Here is a 20,631-nt window from a genome sequence, read left to right on the forward strand (position 1 = left end):
TAGTTGGTATCCCAAATTCACACATTCAAAAGCAAAGCCATTTCTCACCTTCCTCCAAAATACTTGTAATTCCTAATATCCTGACTCCAATCCATTCTTTATTTTCTATTCCCAAGGCCCTTCACAGAATCGAAACTTTTGTTATGAGCTCTTACATGGTGTATCATCAATATGTTCACTAGACAGGAGTTTTTTTAAAAAAAAATCCTCATCATTCCTCTTCAATTCAAGAGCTCTGATGGCTTCCAGTCTATACAAGATATATTAAGGCTCAACTTACAGTTCCAGTCTCACCTGCCCCACCTCCACCTTCCCAAACCCTCTGTATTCTAGCCAGAGCATACCTGCATTCCCTTAGCTCAACATGCGTCCTTGCTCACACTGTCCCTTTGGTTGACCTAGCTTCAATTCCTTCCTCATGTGCAGTTATGTGTCTACTAAGCAGCAATGTGAAATGTCTTTATTGTAGGTCTGTCAAAAGCTAAAGTCATGGCCCGGTGCAGTGGCTTGGGCCTGTAATCCCAGCACTTTGGGAGGCCCAGACAGGCCAATAACTTGAGGTCAGGATTTAGAGACCAGCCTGGCCAACAGGGTGAAACCCTGTCTCTATTAAAAATACAAAAAAAAAAAAAAAATAGCCAGGCATGGTGGTGCGCGCTTGTAGTCCCAGCTACTCAGGAGGCTGAGGCAGGAGAATCACTTGAACCCAGGAGGAGGAGGTTGCAGAAAGCCAAGATCATACCACTGCACTCCAGCTTGGGTGACAGAGCGAGACTTTGTCTCAAAAAAAAAAAAAAAAAAAAAAAGTTAAAGTCATTACTTTAGATTTTGTTTAGAGAATTTTTCTGACAAGAACAAATCACCAAAAAAAGACTGGCTTTAATGGTTTGAGTCAAAGTTTAATAAGAGCATGCTAGGAAACATTTGAATGAAATTCACTTTTTAAACTGTTTGGTTTCCCTTCAAATCCCCCAGATGTGCTGCAATCCTCAGTATCCAAGTATCTTAATTACCCCTCTAAAAGTTAAATATTAATCCAAATAATCACAAACCTCATCTTGAGTTGACCTGACCTCCTTCTACACTAACCATTAATAAACTCATCTCTGAAATGAGGCTACCCATAATCAGACCACAGAATAGCAGTATGAAATATAAAACTTTAGATATAAAGACAAAAGGTACAAAGTTTTAAATATTGAGCCCACCAAAATCCATAATCCATGTAACCCAGGACAATCCACTAAACCTAAGTTTCTCATAAACTTAAACCTCATTTTGCTCATCTGTAAAGTGGTGATGAATATCTTCCTGCAGGGTTATAGAAAAACGTAAATGAGCTAATACATGTAAAGTATACAGTGTCTGGCTTTACCCAAATATCAATTAAATAGTAAGTTCAGAGTTACAGTCTTTCTTGTAGTTTGAAAATTCTTAAAATTTCCGTAAGGTGATTTTTGAATACCCTAACATCAATTCTAAGTTTTCCTTCATTAAAAAAGAAAAATTGGCAAGGCTAAGGCAGGAGGATTGCTTTAGCTCAGGAGTTCAAAACCTCAACTCTACAAAAATTTTATTTAAAAATTAGCCAGGCACTGGTGGCATATGCCTGTGATCCCAGCTACTTGGGAGGCTGAGGCAGGAGGATCGCTTCAGCTCAGGAGGTTGACGCTGTGTTCATACCACTGCACTCCAGCATGGGTGAAAGACTGTCTCAACAACAACACAAAAATTAAAAAAAAAAAAAAGAAAAGAAAAGAAGAATGGTACTAAGGCTCAGTCTATAATAAAAGCTTCCTATTTTGGTTGCTACAGTACCTTCAAAATGTCTCCATGCACATGTAACTTTAGAAAAAGATAAATTGTGTATGCGGTATGTTCAATCTCTGCATGGTAAGACAGGTAATTCACTTCAATACTTTCCTGAATTTTTCAAAGTTTCTACAATGATCAGGGACTGCTACTTTTGAAACCAGAAATTTTTAATTGATGGTTCAGGCTTAAGTGTATAAAGACAGTTACTTCTCACCCACAGCAAGAAAATGCAAATTAAAAAGTACATTAGAATGCAATTTTTCACCTATTGGATTTGTAAAAATTCACGTTTTAATAGTTTCCCACGTGTTCTCCTACATGCTCATGGAAAGGTAAATTGATACGCTCCCTCTGGAAGGCTATCCAGCTTTCTGTATCACAATTACAAATGATCTTCTGACCCAGCAATTTCTGCTTCCTACAGAAACACTTGACCCATGCAAAACAACCATGGGAAACAGTCTAAATGTCTATCAACAGGGGTCTAGTTAATAATAGCCCATCCATGTTTAAAAAATATCCTAGCTATATTACAAATAACACACTAGTAACAGTGTTTAGTTCTATGGGAGGGAGGACGACTAGATGGACAAAAGTCACCGGTATAGACTTTATATTACTTTGGCATTTCATTTTTTGCATGGTTCAAAATACCATATTAAATACAAACGACAAAAATCTACCCCAGTGATTTCTCCACCCAAGTACCAGAAAACAAACTGTGGGTCCCTAAATCTGTACTGTCCGGGAGTCAAAATACCTCTGCCATACATAAGGTAACAAAATTTGAAAAGCGAGCACCACTATTTTCCCCTAGATTCAGGGGAGAGGTATTCTCTATAGGATTTCCACTCTGAAATTCAGAGTGCCAATTAAACATCAAATCAGCTATTCTTCAAGATGTTCTATAGGACAGACAAGGGAAATGACCACCAGAATCAAATATGCAACATTTGGTAAACTTAAACATAAATGAAATATGTACCATGGTATACAATAACTCACCTGTGTTGTTTTACCAGACCCAGTCTCACCAACCAGTACAAAGGACTGATGTCTAACCAGAATATCTGTAAACCTATCCTTGTATTCCCAAACAGGGAGCTGAAGACGTTTCTTTAGAATATCATAGTATCGAGGAGTATGGGGTAAGTTGGTGAACGGATTAATGCACTGTGGAAGTGACGTGTGACCTGCATGTCCGGCATGCGTTGAATGAGCAGAATGTGTTGAATGCGTTGAATGTGCTGAGTGGGTTGAGTGAGCTGAATGGGAAGCTTTCAAAGGTGGTAATCCAGCACTGATAAGCATAGCATTTGTTGAAGCTCGCAACTCCTTCTCCTTTTCTTTCTCCCTCTCTCGCTCTCTATCTCCTCTATCACGTTCTCGGTCTCGATCTTTAGACCGATCTTCACGATCCCGGTCTCGATCTCGATCCTTCCTAAAAACAAAAATTTAGAATTCAGATTCTGAATTTTATGCAGAATGTTCACGGTAGCGTTATAATCACAAAGAGAGTAAATGTCCAACGTTCAAATGAATAAAAAGTCCAATGGATTATGTAACTATCAGAAATAATAAAAAATACCCTACAATCAAGGGTTTCCCATTCTCCACCACAAACATCTTTCCCTTCCTTGCTGATGCCCCACCTTCCTTAACTTTTAACATTAGGTGAGGTAACACAAGAACTCAGTCTGCTGCAAGTAAAACCCCTCCTACTTAGACAACAGAAATCAGATACTGAGGGTAGGATGAAGAAAGGATAGGTCCAAATTGAGTAAAAGAAGATGGCATCTCAATCTTTCTCAAATTCTCCTTCAATTTGTGAAGAGGTATTTTGTGCACTAAAAGTATATTCAGAAGTTAGCACAAACACTGCTACTGGAGATAAAGACAACTCCACCTCACATCATTACAGTCAACAGTGGTGGGTTTTGCTCAATACTTTTATAATCCACTTCTAATAAATTACTTTAATATTCCTTTCTTTGCCATAGGACGATGTTCGGTTGTAATGCAAAGTGAAAAGAGCATAGTACAATGTTATACCTGTCAATATCTCAACTAATACAAATACGAATTACAGGACTGCAGAATTTGTTTTCTTAGTTATACTTTCCAGCACTTTCCCAATTTTGTTCAGTAAATGTATATTGCTTTATTAAAAAAACTGAAATTAAAACTTTTATTCCTTCTTGCTTGTTTACTCTTGCATTTTAACCTAAACAGCAACAGCAAAACACTGAAAGCACTCTATAAATCTATGTACCTTGGTCTACCATAAAATGAAACATAGCCAAATTAAAAATAAGCTTTGCTAAACACTATTAAGTTGTTTAACATGTTAAAATTATGCAGGTAGCCACTCTATTAAACCTGGGTCAATTTTAAGTAGTCAATGCTGGTATCTACTTCCAGTTACTAGAGATTGACCTTAATAAGTCATTTTAAAAGTATCTATGCTAAGAACTTCACAAGCAGAATGGCTGCAGGTTGTTCATATGCGTTGTGGCTGAAAGCAGCCTCTGGGAGACTGGTGGTGGGAATAAAATAAAATAATCTATGCTTGTTCATTTTACTAATCCAGTTTACTTCAGACCAAGTCCATCAGCAGAGAAATTTGCCTCAAGATCTTTAAACCCAGACTTGAAATAATGAGACATGACGGAGCTATGACACAAGCCCCGAAACATGTCATTGTTCCTTACCCACAATACACAAAAGTACAAATTCCCTGTGCTCCAAGTGCAGTTGTGTGACATGTACAAATTTACTCAAAAAGGGGAAAAGCCATATATATGCATATATAAACATGAAAAGTGATTTTCCCCTCTTCCATCCCAATGTTCACCTTCTACAAAAATCACAGAGCATACAAGCCAGAACTGTATGAAGCCTCTCATTTCACCTGGCATAAACAGAAAGAAAATCAATGGGAAAGAAAAGTCAAAGGATAACTTAATAAACATAAAATGAAGTCTCACAATTCAATACTTGAGAGTCTGGACCTATCTTCTGAAATATGCCATCAACTATCTTTGCTTCTCCTGCTTCTGGCCTAAGGTGACTGTTAATTAAGTGTTTACATTGCTCCAAAATGCCAACGAGGTGTAGTTTATAATAAGAGTACACAGAAATGTGCCCAGCAAAGTAAGAAGCACTGTACTCACAAATGGTTCAAATACTTGACACCTTAAAGATCATGGATCATACAGCTAGAAAAGAACTCTTAAAGAACATCTGGTCTGAACAAAAAGGATTCATGTTTCTAGTATTCACTCAACCATGGGGGAAGGAGGAGATGACAAAAAATATAATTGAAACAACTTCCTTTTTTTTGAGATAGGATCTTGCTCCATTACCCGGGTTGGAGTGCAGTGGCTCACTGGATCATGGCTCACTGCAATATCAAACTTCTGGGTTCAAGTGGTCCTCTCACCTCAGCCTCCCGAGTAACTGGGACTACAGGCATGCACCACCACGCCTCGCTAATTTCTTATTTTTGTAGAGATAAGGGTCTCACCATGTTGCCCAGGATGGTTTTCAACTCCTGGGATCAAGCAATCTCTTGCTTCAGCCTCCCAACGTGCTGGGATTACCGATGAGCTACCATGCCCAGCCTAGTTTAATGATTTCTATACTTCTAGCATAGTACCAGGCAATTAAGACATGGTCAAGAGTTACAAAATTTGGGGGAAGAGAGGTGACAAAGTAAATCATGTATTATATATTGCCTTAGTTTGTTAAAGTAATACCTATACTAACAAAGATTTTTTCAGGGGCCCACTTCATCAGATGCTTCATTACCAAACCAAACAAAGGATGTATAAAATACATTCTAAAGATAAAAGGTTAGCTGCTGATCAAGCAATGGCGACAGCTGTGGTATTAAGATAAAAGGAATGCTGGAATCACCATTGCAAGACACTGCCTCAATTTACTGATCTGCAAAATGAAGAGCATTTTCAGATACTTTTAGTCTCAGATTAAAGTAAGAAAACAGGGAGGATGCAGGAGGCAAATTCAGACACCTGGAAATGTTGCTTATGGCTCAAACTACCTTCCTTCGATGAGAGAGGGAGTACAAATGAAAGGTGAGTAAAAGGGGAAAATCAAACCCTCCACTTCATAAATATTTGTCAACTATTGTGCACATGCGTGTTTTCTTTTTTAAAAGATACTTTTTATTATAAAGGAGTTTTGTTCTTAAAAGTTTACTAGTTGAAGTATAAGGGTTTTTAAAAACTGGTATCAAGTCAGTGCTTCAGACACAGCCACACCACGAGCAGGGAGGGAGGTATGACATGACACAGTTGTTGAACATACTGCTCTGTACTGTGTCTCAGTTCAATCTTGGCTCAAGACTTAAGCCAACTATAGGATCACAGTTATTTCTTCCCTCACCTATAAGATGTGGCTATCAATATGTTTTGTAGAGTATAGATAGGATTAAATGAGTTAATATATGTGATGTGCTTTAAGTGTTGTCTGGCACATTGCAAATGCCCAATATCGGTTGTTGTTGTTATTATTACTATTATTTTGAGACGGAGTCTTGCTCTGTCACCAGGCTGGAGTGCAGTGGTGCAATCTCAGCTCACTGCAACCTCTGCCTCCCTGTTTCAAGCGATTCTCCTGCCTCAGCCTCCAGAGTAGCTGGGACTACAGGCACATGCTGCCACACCCAGTTAATTTTTGTATTTTTAGTAGAGACGAGGTTTCACCATGTTGGCCAGGATGGTTTCAATCTCTTGACCTCATGATCTGACTGCCTCGGCCTCCCAAAGTGCTGGGATTACTGGCATGAGCCACCGCGCCCCACCAATATTGGTTATTATTAAAGATCTTTTTAAGTTCTAATACCATGTTAAAATTCTACATGGAGGGCAAGACCTAGTGACTCACGCATGTAATCCCAGTGCTTTGGGAGGCCCAAGTGGGAGGATCACCAGAGGCCAAAAGTTTGAGACCAGCCTGAGCAATACAGTGAGACCCCATCTCTACAAAAAAATTTTAAACTTAGCTAGGTGGGGTGGCACGCCTGTAGTCCCAGCTACCTGGGAGGCTGAGACGGGAAGATCACTTGAGCCCTGGAATTTGAGACTGCAGTGAGCCATGATCACACCAGTGCACTCCAGCCTGGGAAACAGAGGAAGACCCTGTCTCTAAAAAATAAAAAAATTCTACATGGAATAATAACAGGCACTGAAGTACTGCTAAGGAAGACATTAACTGGTCATCAAAATCATGATATTTTAAATAAGCATTGCTTTTTTTTTTTTTTTTTAAAGACAGTCTACCTCTGTTACCCAGGCTGGAGTGTAGTGGTGCAATCTCGACTCACTGCAACCTCTGCCTCCCAGGTTCAAGCAATTCTCCTGCCTCAGCCTCCGGAGTAAGTAGCTGGGATTACAGCAGTGCGCCACCATGCCCAGTGTATTTTTGTATTTTTAACAGAGACAAAAATAGGTTTTATTACCTTGGCCAGGCTGGTCTTGAACTCCTGACCTCAGGTGATCCATTCGCCTAGGCCTCCCAAAGTGCTGTGATTACAGGTGTGAGCCATCACACCCGGCAATAAGCACTGCTTTTTATCCGTCAATCTTATTTCCAGGAACCTCTCAAGGATGTGTGCAAATACGTATGTATAAGGATGTTCATCAAACTTCTCATTTATAAAATAGCAACAAGTGGAAAACTACCTAAATATCAATGAACAGGATATTGGTTAAATAAGTGATGTCATACCTTTACAACTGGAGTACTATGGCAGTCAATCTATTTATTTTTTATTATTTTTTTTTTTTTGAGATGGAGGCTCGCTCTGTTGCCCAGGCTGGAGTGCAGTGGCACAATCTCGGCTCACTGCAAGCTCCGCCTCCCGGGTTCATACCATTCTTCCTCAGCCTCCCAGAGTAGCTGGGACTACAGGTGCCCGCCACCACACCCGGCTAATTTTTTGTATTTTTAGTAGAGACAGGGTTTCACCGTGTTAGCCAGGATGGTCTTGATCTCCTGACCTCGTGATCCACCCGCCTCGGCCTCCCAAAGTGCTGGGATTACAGGCGTGAGCCATTGCGCCCGGCCTATGGCAGCCAATTTAAAAGCGTAATGTGTACCTACAGTTAATGACATTTCTGAGTGGAAAAAAAAATCAAAGTACAAAATAACACGCGTTGATCCCACTGATATTAAATTTTATAGTTCATATTTTTGAGTCAATATGCAGAGATCTTAGAAAATGTTCACCAAAAACTGTTATCCAAAGATGGAGATGAAGATTTTAGGGAATGCCTTCTTTAAACCTTTGAGTATAAACATTTCTTATGTTCCCTGTGGCAAGTTCATTTAACCTCATCTACCATACAGGATTGTAGTGAAAATGTGCATGCTCCACAAATGTTATCACAGTATTAATACATTAGCTTTACTTTCCCATAATTAACAGAAAAAACTCTTATCAGGTGGTAATATCAAAAACCAACATCAAAATGAAAAACGCCCCTAACATCGAAAACTTTTTTCCATACTTCAACAGTAAGTATGGAAAATTATTACTTTCGGTAATTGTATAGTGAAGATTCTGTGGGTTGACAAAAAGAAGAAATGAGGCCAGAATATGCAACAGAAACCTATAATAACTTCACCTGATTTCAAAGTTAAAATATGCCAGGAGTAAATAAAGCCTTATATAGTTTGGGAGCATTAATATAAGTGAAATCTCCCACTGAATTACCTTCCCTTCTCAGTACTGCAGAAACCCTATCTGGCAGTGGAGTTTGTAAGACTGACAAGCTTATGCTCTCCAATAAAACCACTTGCTTATCAGGGAAAAAAAAAATCTGCAGGATTGCATGGCAGTCAACAAGTGACTTAAAATTATCGAGTATGAAAAAATTCTGAGGCCGATAAACACCTTAAGTCCACTGTTAAATAAAACCAGTTCAAGGATAAATGGCACTCAAATGACATAGAAATGAGTATAAAAACTTCCCTCTACTATTTCTTATAACTTGGGCATTATTCCAAAGATGAACTCTCCTTTATCCATAGGCAAATTCTAAATAATATACAAGGGAATCATAAAGCTACCATTAGACTCCAAAAGTCAACCTTTTTACTAAGGATATCTGTTTTTGCAAGAGAAAGTAAACAATCGCACATACATATGGTGGGACCACTAATCCCAAGGGGAACATTTTAAATGGTGCACATATGCACAAATACAAATGAATTCATTCATTCCCTCCCAGAATATTTTGTTCCAATCTGACCTCCTGTGAGAGACATCAGTTCCAGATGACAGCAATTTATTTTTGCCTTAGAGAAATCAAGAACTAAGTGTTCCCTACTTTACCAACGCATTATAAATGTCATTAAAATAGGCTGTAATGACTCTTAACTACAGTACTGAACTGTGTGCTGCTGAGTGAAAATGACAAAGGCAGGGTTCCAGATCCTGCTGTAAACTTGCACAAGCCACCTTAACTCTGTTCTCCACTTCTCATTCCTTGATTGGAGCCGCGTATAGTCTTTTTTAAGTTGCTTCCAGCTCTGAGTCTGTGACATACAGCTCAGAGGTATTAACGTTTTGTGGGGCGTAATGGTGGGGGAGGGTGATAGCCTAAAGAGAGTCTGTCTTACAATGTCATTGTCTTTTTTACAATGCCTAATATCGTAAACTAAATAACTCACAAAATTAAAATGTGACATGCTTTTGCTTTCTATTGAATAATTCAACATATGGCAAAGCCTCAAAAAGTACACCCTATCCTGGCTTATACTCTACAATGACACTAAACATATCCCTGGAAATCAATTTCAATGAAGAACTTTAGCTGAAAAATTCAAAACAGCTATACAGGTGACTTGACACAGTGATTCTGTATCACAAGTACACAATAAAATGATACAATTATGCAAAGTATTTGGCTACTCGGGCTTTTGTGGGTTTTGCCTGAATTATCCAAACAGGTCTTTGTACTTCATCAATGAAAACACACAAGGGACAAGAAATGATTTTCACGAAATTGCTTAAATTAACTGCTAAATTCCTCTGTACCTTTAAGGAAAGGAATCTGGAACACCAAGAGTTTGTGTAAGTATTTCAACTCTCAACCTCCACATGGGCGGTGTTTCGCCATAAATACTAAAAACACGTTTTGAACATGATCCCTGTATTTCAAAAGCTACTTATGAAGAAAAGTGGGACATGCATAGAAAATAAATGATGAAAAAAAAAAACAATGCCTTCTAATCCCTCCCCATGGGACGATGTTCAGTAACCAGTTTTAACCAAAGCAGGAAATACAGGAGATGGCGGGAGCGTAGGCAGAGAGCGGAAGTTTGCTAGTATCTACTTTGAAGTGTTTGAATGGACCAAGGCACGCTCTCTCCCGCCAAACTATAAACTCAGTCGCCCCAAAACACCAGCCTTCCAGCCCATCAGGTATATTACTCCACGTTTTCCTTTCTCCCGGCAGGTCCTCTACTCCCACCTCCCCCGAGAACTCCCTATTTGCTGGCTTCTCTCAACTCCCGCCACCCCCATCCCAGCCTACATTATGATCCACGCGCTGCTCTCACTTTCCGCCCTCCGCCTTTCCCGTCTGGAGTGCCTGGCCGCGCCCCCACCCAGGCCCTCCCCACGGCCCCTCTGGCTGGGAAGTGCCTGCTGCCCTTGGAAGCGAATACTCCCACCGCGCCCTCCCCCACCCTCTCCTCCGGCTCCAGGCCTTCCTCGGGAACCGAGGCCACGAGGTCCGCGGTTCACTCCCGCCCGACGCCCTCGCAAATGACTCCCGCTCGGTTCGGCCTGGGGGAGGAGGCGCCCTCATGGCTACTGCAGGCCTCTCCACCCTCCGGACTGGGCTGGGCAGCGGCCCCGTCGCACGCAACCCCCCGCGCCCTTGCCGGGCCGAACGGGCGCCGCGCTTCTCCTACCCGCCGCTAGTGAACCCAGCCCAGAGAGAAACAAAGGCTCGGGCTCCAGGACCCGCTCGGCCAGGCCAGCCCCGGCCCGCTCCCTGCCAGGACCCCAACAAAGCCCGAGCTGCCGCCTCGCGCCCCCGGCCTGGCTTACCCATCGGTCCCCGCACGCTTCTTGCCAGAGGGGTAATCCTCCCCTAGGTCCAACCGGTGCCGCTTGGACATCCTCGCACTCTTCGAACGGGCAGTTATTAAGGAAGAAAGCTGGCTGCTGTATGGGCACAGTCGAGGACAGCCACTTAACTCTGGAGGACCCCCACCCCTCCCGCTACTACAGCCCACACGGTGCGGCCGGAACCAACAGCTAAAATGGCGGCGGCGACGAGGGCTGGGCCTGCGCGCGCGCGCGCTTCCGCAGCGTGCGTGCGTGCGAGTGTGCGTGTGAGCGAGGTGCGCGCGCACGACGCCCAAAGGCGGGAACTCCTGTCCCGCCCGCTGCCTCATTGGTCCGACCTTTCTTGGGTCTCCTCCCTCTTCCTGTAGCTTTCCCCTCCTCGGAGCGGCTGTTAGGAAGAACCTGAAGGCCTTCACTTTCCATTTCAGGCTATCCTTGCCCCTCTGAGTCAAGAAATTGAGAAAGTCTAGTCCTAGTTAGGAAATCCTATTCATTTCTATTACCCCGGCTTTAAGGGAATCTCAGACCCAGAGAGGTTGAGAAACGAATGAAGATCGTACAGCTAATAAGTGGCAGAGCCGGGATTGGAACCCAGCTATTTAGTAACTCCAGATCTGGAACTTGCGGCCACTGCGCTACCCTCAGTTGCAGTGAGGGGCCGCGCGATGGTTCACGCCTGTAATCCCAACGCTTTGGGAGACCGAGGCGGGTGGATCACGAGGTCAGGAGTTCGAGACCAGCCTGGCCAACACGGTGAAACCCCGTCTCTACTAAAAATACAAAAATTAGCTGGGCGTGGTGGCGTACGCCTGTAATCCCAGCTACTCGGTAGGCTGAGGCAGGAGAATCGCTTGAACCTGGGAGGCGGAGGTTGCGGTGAGACGAGATCACACCAGTGCACTCCAGCCTGGACGACAGAACAAGACTCCGACTTGAAAGAAAAAAAAAAATCAATTGCAGTGAGGAAACTGAAGTGAGAAAATGTTAAGGCTTGTCATGATCTATTTTGCCCTTTTCTTGCCCAGCACGGACACCATGCACCCAAGCTATAGATGTTTTTAACTAGAATACAGAGAATTCGCAGTGAGGGCACAATTTGCTTTTTTGTTTTTTGTTTTTCTGTGCCTATTAATGCACTTTCGCAGTGTTAAATAACACCCTGCAAGGTAGTTGTTATTTTGTAGACGTAGACGCAAAGGCTGAGGAAGGTTACATCTCCTAGCCATAAGGGCTGTACCTAAAGCCATAACAAGGAGGTGGGGCAAGATGACTCTAAGGATTTTTGTGGATCTCTCCCCCTAGAATATGTCTGCTTCCTCAGTTGCATTTGTTCCCAGAAGAAATGCACAAGAAAAGATCTGTGGACCATCTGCAGCAGGGTGATCTCTGTTGTTCATGGAATGGCTTGGTTTGGCTGCCCTGGAAGACCATACTCTGGTTCTTATCCAAATCTCAGGACTGCAATTGCTAGGATTAAATGCAACTTAAATATTGCAACTGATGAGGGGTTTGTGTGTTTGTTTTGAGACAGTCTTGCTCTGTCGCCCAGGCTGGAGGACAGTGGTGCAATCTCAGCTCACTGCAACCTCCGCCTCCCGGGTTTAAGCCATTCTCCTGCCTCAGCCTCCCTCCTAGCTGGGATTATAAGCGCCCGCCACCACGCCCGGCTACGCGCCCGGCTAATTTTGGTATTTTTAGTAGAGACGTAGAGACGAGGTGTCGCCATGCTGGCCAGGCTGGTCTTGAACTCCGGACCTCAAGTGATCTGCCCACCTCGGCCTCCCAAAGTGCTGGGATTACAGGCGTGAGCCACTGCACCCAGCCAGCAATTGGTAAGGAGGGTTTTTATTTTTTTGTACCAAATCCACATTGGAAAGTCAACACAAAGAAAAATGAGTATATTTTTCACTTGTGAAATATTCAGTACAACTTTCTATCCTAAATGTACCATAGTCCCTACTTTGTCCCTGGTTTTGCTTTCACAGTACAGTAAGATATTCTGAGAGAAAGACCACATTCACATAGCTTCTATTACAGTATAGATTCTCCTTGACTTATGATGGGGTGATGGCCATCGCAAAGCCATCGTAAACTGAAAATGTTGTAAGTTGAACATGCAGTTAATATACCGATAAACCCATCGTGAAGTCAAAAAATCTGGTCAAACAATTGTAAGTCAAGACTGTCTGTATGTTGTTATAAATGTTTTATTATTAGTTGTTAATATCTTACTGTGCCTAATTTATAAGTTACACTTTATCATAATTACATATGTATAGGAAAAAACTGAAATTAAAATGATGAGTTGGCCTTCTATTATCTGTGGGTTCCTTATCCCTGGATTCAATCAACTGCAAATCAAAAATATATTTTTCTTTAAAAATGGATGGTTGCATCTGTATTGAACATGTACAGACTTTTTCTTGCTCTTATTTCTTAAACAATACAGTATAACAGCTATTTCCATAGCAATTACATTGTATTAGGTATTATAAGTGATCTAGTGATGATTAAGTATACAGAAGAATGTGCATAGGTTATATGCAAATACTGTACTATTTTATATCAGACACTTGAACCTCCACGGACTTTAGTGTCGGCAGTTTCTCCTGGAACCAATCCCTAGTGGATACTGAGGGACAATTGTGTTGACTTTTTTCAGATCATGATGTATAATCACTGGATTCCATCTGATTTTTCTCTTTTTGCTTAATTTTACAAATGAGGGAAACTGAACCCCTAGGTCTTATTGAAGTTCACACAATCAGTTGGTATCAAAGTCAGAATAAAATACAGATTTCACTTGAAGTATTAAAATCTCAGTCTTCAGGTTTCCAGTTTGATGACTGCTATAAAGTGCTCTAAAATTTTGGAGAAATAATCAGGGAAAAAAGTTAGAATTCTACCTGCAGAAGTGCTCCACTCAGATGTCAGCCTCTCATAAATGATGAAAGAGGAACTGAAATCAAGGTGATGAGACTTTTCCCTTGGGCCTAGGTTACAGCTAAAGAAAACCATAACCTCATCAGTTGTGTTGTGACCTGAACAATTAAAGAAAGGCCCTGGGCAGGCGTGGTGGTTCACACCTGTAATTCCAGCACTTTGGGAGGCCGAGGCAGGTGGATCATGAGGTCAGGAGTTCGAGACCAGGCTGACCAACATGGTGAAACCCCGTCTCTACTAAAAATACAAAAATGAGCCAGGCATAGTGGCACATGCCTGTAATCCCAGCTACTCAGGAGGCTGAGGCAGGAGAATCACTTGAACCCGGGAGGTTGAGGTCGCAGTGAGCCAAGATTGTGCCACTGCACTCCAGCCTGGGCAACAGAGCAAGACGCCATCAGAAAGAAAGAAAGAGAGAAAGACAGAAAGGAAGGAAAGAAGGAAAGAAAGAAAGGAAGAAAGGAAGGAAAGAAGAAAGGAAGAAAAGAAGGAAAGGAGGAAAGAGAAAGGCCCTACTTATTGAAGGATAGTGACCTCTCTGGAATCTAGAATAAGGGGAACAAGTGGCCAGAGGCTGCCAGGATGTGCACACTCCTTGGGAAGAAGGGTAGAATTCTAGGTCTAAATGATCCACCCTGGATTTTCAGACATCATTATCCCTGGAGTAGAGAAAAGGCACCCACCAGGCCCTCCACAAACTTGGCTGGAAATATTTCCAGATAATATCCTATTTTCCCTTACTGTTACTCTTTCTCTACTAGACAACCCTCTGGCCTATGACATGGACTTTCTCACCTGGAGGAAATGTCTTATGCAGCTAACCAGCTGCAGGGTCTCAAGTCAACCTAAATTAATAAAAAATAATTGCTAATAGCAAACACATACAAAGCACTATGAGCCAGATGCTGTTCCTTACACATTTGAGCCTATTTGAGACTTACAGCAACTTCAAGTTTAGTCCAATGAATTACTCTTATTTACAGCTGAGGAAACTGTTACTCAAAGAGGCAAGTATTTTGGCCAAGATGACAGTTCTGAGATTCAGCCCAGACAGTGTGTGTGCTTAATTGCTATGTTCTGCTGCGGCTGATAAATAGATATTCTCGTTCCACTTTATTCGTCTAAGGTGTGGTTACTGAAGATAAGTTCTCCCAGTCTGACAAGATGAACATGAACTGATAAAACTTCTGCATTGTCCATGTAGAGAACTAGTTTACAGAACTCTCAGTGGACAAGTGGGGATTTGGATTATTTGAACCCAGTCCAACTCTAGAGCCGCACTATTGACCATTGTACAGTATCACTATTACCATTTATTTATTCAATCAACAAATATGTATTAAGCTCCCATGTCAGGCATTAAGTGCTGGGGAAAGAGGAAAGAAGAAAATAGCCATAGTTCTTGCCTTCATAAAACGTGGCAGAGGGAGAGAGACAGGCACTGAACAGCTAAACACATAAATAACTATGTTGTTATCACGATGATAAGTGCTGAAAAGGCCAGCTACAGACGACAGGCATTGTGAGAGCATATAACAAGTGGCCTTGATCTACATTGAGGGTTAGGGAATGCCTCTCTGAGAAAGAAACATTTAGACAAAAACCTTAAAAATAAATGCAATCCCAGCACTTTGGGAGGCCAAGGCAGGCAGATCACCTGAGGTCAGGAGTTCAAGACCAGCCTGACCAACATGGAGAAACCCCATCTCTACTAAAAATACAAAATTAGCCGGGCATAGTGGTGCATACCTGTAATCCCAGCTACTCGGGAGGCTAAGGTGGGAGAATTGCTTGAACCCAGGAGGCGGAGGTTGCGGTGAGCCAAGGTCACATCATTGCCCTCCAGCCTGGGCAACAGGAGCAAAACTCCATCTCAAAAAAAAAAAAAAAAAGAATGCAAATTGTCCAGGCAGAGAGGGCAGAAAGCATTCCAAGCAGAGGAAACAGCCTGTGCAAAGGCCCTGAAGCTTTAAAAAGTCAGGTGCGACCCACAGACAGAGAAAACAACATGGATGTGTTGAGATGAGGAATTTGTCATCTGTGATCCTGCAGATGCAAGAACAGGGCATATCATGCCCCATCTGAGGAGTCCTGCTGAGGAGGTAAGCCTTTATCCTTCCTAAAACAAGAGGAAAACAGAAATGAGATTTAAGTGGGAAAACAACATGATCACTCATGAGGATTTGCCAGGATCAATCCACCAGTCTCCCTCTTTGAATCCTCTTTAGCAACAAAATGCTTACAAATTTGAAAGAATTTTCAGTACTATTTTTAATCACCTTATCCTCTCTCTAGTAAGAGACAGAAATAGTTACAAACTATAGTGGTGCTATGGCTTGCCATCAAAATCTCACTTTCATAATGAGACATCCCTCAGCTCTGGGAGTGCTTGCCACCTGCACACGATCCTCGTGTCAGCCCTCTTCAGAAACTTCCATGGCTAAAGAAAGCTGCCATGCCCAGGGGCAGCCTGAATACATTCTACAGGTATAAAGGCTTGGCCTGTCTACCAACTTAGGACAACTGTGAGCTTCAGAGCATCTGAACCCTCTGTGGGATCAGCTGAAGTCTTTGTTATAATGGCATCTGATGTACCCCAATGCAATTTGGCCAGTAACAATCCAGAGTTACCTCCAATCCCACAAGTTAAGGCCACAGTCCCAAGCAAGACTGAAGATGTCCCCACTCCAGACACCATCCATAAGTTCAGGGGTCTGCAGGCCACCAGCACTCCGGCCCAACTGGCTACAAATTCAGAGTTTCTCACAATTCCATCATATTTGATAATTTACTAGAATAACTTATAAAACTCAGGAAAGCACTATACTTATGGTTGCTGTTTTATTATAAAGGAAACAAATCAGAGCGTCTGTGTCCTCTCCCCATGGAATTAGAACATGTGACCCTCCCTCACATCCATGTCCTTACAAACTAGGATGTTCCACTGAGCTTCAGTGTCTGCAGTTTTTATTGGGGTTTCATTATGTAGCCATGATTGATTGACTGAATCATTGGCTCCATGATTCAACTCAATTTCCAGCCTCCTTTCCCTGCTTAAAGGTCAAGAGATTGGGCTGATAACATGTGGCTCAAAGCTTCAACCCTTTAATCACATGGTTGGTCTTTCTGGGATGACCAGTTCCCATCCTGAGTTATCTCCTTAGCACTAATTCAGATGTCGTCCAAGGGCCCAACATAAAGAGAGTAACTCTTTAGGGAATAAAGGGAATACATAAACCTAAAGAGAATAAAGGGAATACATAAAGAGAATAAAGGGAATATATAAACCAGGATACACAAACCAGGAAGTCACTGCATATTCACTAAAGAGAGCAACAAAGATACTCTTATGACTTGGGAGACCCCAAGGATTTAAAATGAACCAATCCCGTGAACCAGGGATAAAGGCCAGTCAAATTCATTGTCATGCAACAGCATCACAGTCAACTTTTCCTTATCTGATTCTACTTTTATCTTTTCTTTCCACTGATATTGATCCTAAATGTACTTCTTAATAAACATTCTAAATGCTAATCTTTGCCTCAGAGTCTAGTTTTCATGGAAGCCGACCTAAAAGATTTGGTGCCAGAAGTGGTGCCAGAAAGAAAGCAGACATTATGATTGGATTTTGGAGTTGGTCACCCATTGCTGGCTGGCAATGAATCTGTGGTGGAGGTAGGACACAAGGAAGCAGGGCAATTGTTAAAACTTTCACCTGTAGCTTACTGGGAAAAAAGCATGTGGTGTACTGCAAAAGGCATGCAGTTCTCACATATGGGGGAACTGGTAACTATAAGCTCCCTAGAATTTGATGGCTATTGCTAAGTAGAATTAATATTTTGGGGAGAGATAATGAAAGGCTGGAAGTTATTTATCTGCAATTCAAAACTAAGCATGAAAACCAGAAATCCTATGAGGGAGCATATAAAAAGGTTTTCATTTCTTGCAGTGGAAAGGCAGAGAAAACTGAAAGGCAGTTCCAGGACTTAAACATAATAGTAGCAGAAAATTAAGTGGAAACTTCCAAAGAAGATTAAACTCTCCACTTAGGCAATTGTGATATACCAAGGTTAGGACCCTGGATGGGAAATAGTGGGACTCTGACACATGGGTGGGGACATCTGGGTTGATGTACTTGAAAAATTTTGAATCCCTAGATTCCCCTCAACCCACTGAGTCTGCCAAAGTACTCTACTTTTCTGTATTAAAAGCTCGTGTTCCTCTCTTGTAAAATGATGCAGAGGTTTCCTCTCTGCAGAATAACGTCTACCACCCTTTTCAGGATACATAAACCAGGAAGTCACTGCATATGATATTCCAGGGACATCACTACATATGATATAAGTATATCATAAGCATCCATCTTTGGCTTAATTTGGTTGTTCAGATTGAGAACTTCCTTTGACGTTTGTCCATTTATTTTCCTCCAGATGCCTTATTTAATTTATTGTCTCCAAAACTTCTGTAAGTAAAGTTCCTTTGACTGCCATTTCTTACAGTGGGAAGGCAGAAAAAAGTATATGATATAAGTATCACATGATACAAGGTCATATCACTACATATGATATTCCAAGAACATCTGATACGGTGTGGCTGTGTCCTAACCCAAATCTCATCTTGAATTGGTGTTCCCATAATTTCCATGTGTCTTGGGAGAAACCTGGTCGGGGGGTAATTGAATCATGGGGATGAGTCTTTCCCATTCTGTTCTACTGATAGTGAGTAAGTCTCAGGAGATCTGATGGTTTTATAAAGGGGAGTCCCCTGCACATGCTCTCTTGCCTGCCACCATGTAAGATGTGCCTTTGCTCCTCCTTTGCCTTCTGCCATGATTGTGAGGCCTCCCCAGCCATGTGGAACTGTGAGTCCATTAAACCTCTTTCCTTTATAAATTACCAAGTCTTGGGTATGTCTTTATTAGCAGCGTGGGAACAGACTAATACATCAGAGGACACATAATATTGGCATACAATCCTACTCAAAGAAGCTGTAGGACCCAGCCAACAGGTACCAGCAGGAACCAGAGGAGTTGGCACAGGACCAAATTCTTTTTTTTTTTTTTTTTTTTGAGACAGAGTTTCGCTCTTGTTGCCCAGACTGGAGTGCAATGGCGTGATCTTGGCTCACTGCAACCTCCACCTCCTGGATTCAAGTGATTCTCCTGCCTCAGCCTCCTGAGTAGCTGGGATTACAGGCATGTGCCACCACGCCCAGCTAATTTTGTATTTTTAGTAGAGATGGGGTTTCTCCATGTTGGTCAGGCTGGTCTTGAACTCCCAACCTCAGGTGATCTGCCCGCCTCAGCCTCCCAAAGTGCTGAGATTACAGGCGTGAGCCACCACGTCTGGCCAAGGACCGAATTCTGAAGGTTATGAATGTCAGGGTGGGGAGGTGGAGCATACAGTTAGATAAGGGAGAATTTATCAAGTTGGTAATACTCTCCTAGCATACAAGATTTAACACTCATGCAAGGATCCTGGGTGATAGTGTGAACACACTTAGGATGTCATCTAGAAGCACAGAGAAATCAATGGCTCACAGTACACCTGGTTACATAGAGATGCCAAAACTGCTTTGGTTTACATTGTAAGGAGGGACTAAATGGCTCAAAGAAGTGAGCTTGCTAGAGTGAATATACTTATATAAAAATGGAAAACCCAACAGATGAATATATTTCAAAGGAAAGTTCAGAGTATACACCACTTACCAAATCAATAAGGCATTATCTGGTTAGAGAGGAATCAGCATCACTCTAAGACTCAGCAGTGGTTCTCCCTGTAGTCCAGGGTGAAGACAGAAGATACCATTTCAGAACTGGGTTCACTGAGAACAGTAGAGATGATGGAACCTTGTAACACTGAAGTGACATGATGGCACTCAAACTTCAACAGCCAAATGGACACTGCAAGGCAAGAGCGGCAGTCCAGGGGGCTTTACCCACAGATGTTTTGGAGATGACAAATAAGCCATCTGGAGCAAAAGAAATGGGCAACCATCAAAGAAAGTCTTCAATCTGAACAACCAAATTAAGCCAACAATGGATGATCAAGAGGTTAAAGGCTGATGCTCTGATACAAAGTCATGATCACTTGCCCAGTTTCTGGACTTGAACCAGTTTTTGGACCTAGAATATATTTAATTGGAGGGAGAGGGCATGTCCCTAGAAGAAAGAACTCTGCAGCACCAGCACAAGTGTACACAGTAATAATTCCCCAAGTCCTTCCCTCAAGTGATCTATAGCCATTTACTTAGGTGGCCATACACTGGAGAAAAGGGAATATCTAACGATTTCAAGGACATCATGGACACAGTGTGTAAAATGACATTGATACCAAGAGACTCAGAGTTTCATTATTGGCCCTTTCTTAGCATGGAGATATATGGAAATCGAGACTGGATGTCTGGCCCAGGTCCAGCTCATGGTAAGTCTACAGCGTTCTCAAACTACTTGCTATGCCCCCAGTATACAAACATACACATAGAATAAACATCATTAGTAGTTTGTGCGACCCCCATATTAAATTCTGGATCTGTAAGGGGTAAGAGCTATCATACTGGGGAATTCCAAGTGGAAGTTTAGGAAGTTGCACACACTTCCCATCCCCTGAAAACTCAGCCAAGATACTAAACAAAAAACAGCCCAGGGTGGAATTATCAGTTTCAGCTCTGGCGTGTAAAGAGCTTGGAAGTTACTGCTCCCTTTCTTACAAGAAGAATAGCTGAACAAACTGAAAACCAATGGCTTTTCTTAGAGCCATTAGAGAACC

The 20,631-nt window shown here is 42.1% G+C and overlaps 1 protein-coding gene and 1 long non-coding RNA gene across 4 annotated transcripts in view, besides 4 other annotated features; both read right to left on the bottom strand.

Annotated features, from left to right (window-relative positions):
• Positions 1-11,132, bottom strand: part of DHX15 (DEAH-box helicase 15) — a 57,080-nt gene extending 45,948 nt beyond the window's left edge. For all 3 annotated transcript variants that reach the window (NM_001358.3, XM_047449698.1, XM_047449699.1), the window contains exons 1-2: positions 10,901-11,132; positions 2,821-3,256 (exon numbers count right to left, since the gene is read on the bottom strand). In NM_001358.3, coding sequence (NP_001349.2) covers positions 2,821-3,256; positions 10,901-10,971 — 507 coding nt within the window. In that variant the 5' untranslated portion in view covers positions 10,972-11,132. The remainder of the gene's footprint in view (positions 1-2,820; positions 3,257-10,900) is intronic.
• Positions 10,391-10,440: a silencer, noted in NCBI's record as "silent region_15316". NCBI's record gives its function as "represses an Ori minimal core promoter by ATAC-STARR-seq in GM12878 lymphoblastoid cells {active_cell/tissue: GM12878}" and the evidence as "EXISTENCE:reporter gene assay evidence [ECO:0000049][PMID:35858748]".
• Positions 10,641-10,720: a silencer, noted in NCBI's record as "silent region_15317". NCBI's record gives its function as "represses an Ori minimal core promoter by ATAC-STARR-seq in GM12878 lymphoblastoid cells {active_cell/tissue: GM12878}" and the evidence as "EXISTENCE:reporter gene assay evidence [ECO:0000049][PMID:35858748]".
• Positions 10,731-10,850: a silencer, noted in NCBI's record as "silent region_15318". NCBI's record gives its function as "represses an Ori minimal core promoter by ATAC-STARR-seq in GM12878 lymphoblastoid cells {active_cell/tissue: GM12878}" and the evidence as "EXISTENCE:reporter gene assay evidence [ECO:0000049][PMID:35858748]".
• Positions 11,031-11,570: an enhancer, noted in NCBI's record as "active region_21369". NCBI's record gives its function as "activates an Ori minimal core promoter by ATAC-STARR-seq in GM12878 lymphoblastoid cells {active_cell/tissue: GM12878}" and the evidence as "EXISTENCE:reporter gene assay evidence [ECO:0000049][PMID:35858748]".
• On the bottom strand, positions 15,165-20,092 carry LOC124900682 (uncharacterized). The gene is made up of 2 exons (XR_007058078.1): positions 19,572-20,092; positions 15,165-15,983 (listed from the first exon to the last, which is right to left on the bottom strand). It is a non-coding gene; the product is annotated as an uncharacterized LOC124900682 (long non-coding RNA).
• Between the last annotated feature and the right edge of the window lie 539 nt (positions 20,093-20,631).

The sequence above is a fragment of the Homo sapiens genome, chromosome 4, assembly GCF_000001405.40.
Source record: "Homo sapiens chromosome 4, GRCh38.p14 Primary Assembly".
In the NCBI taxonomy this organism is placed as follows: domain Eukaryota; kingdom Metazoa; phylum Chordata; class Mammalia; order Primates; family Hominidae; genus Homo; species Homo sapiens.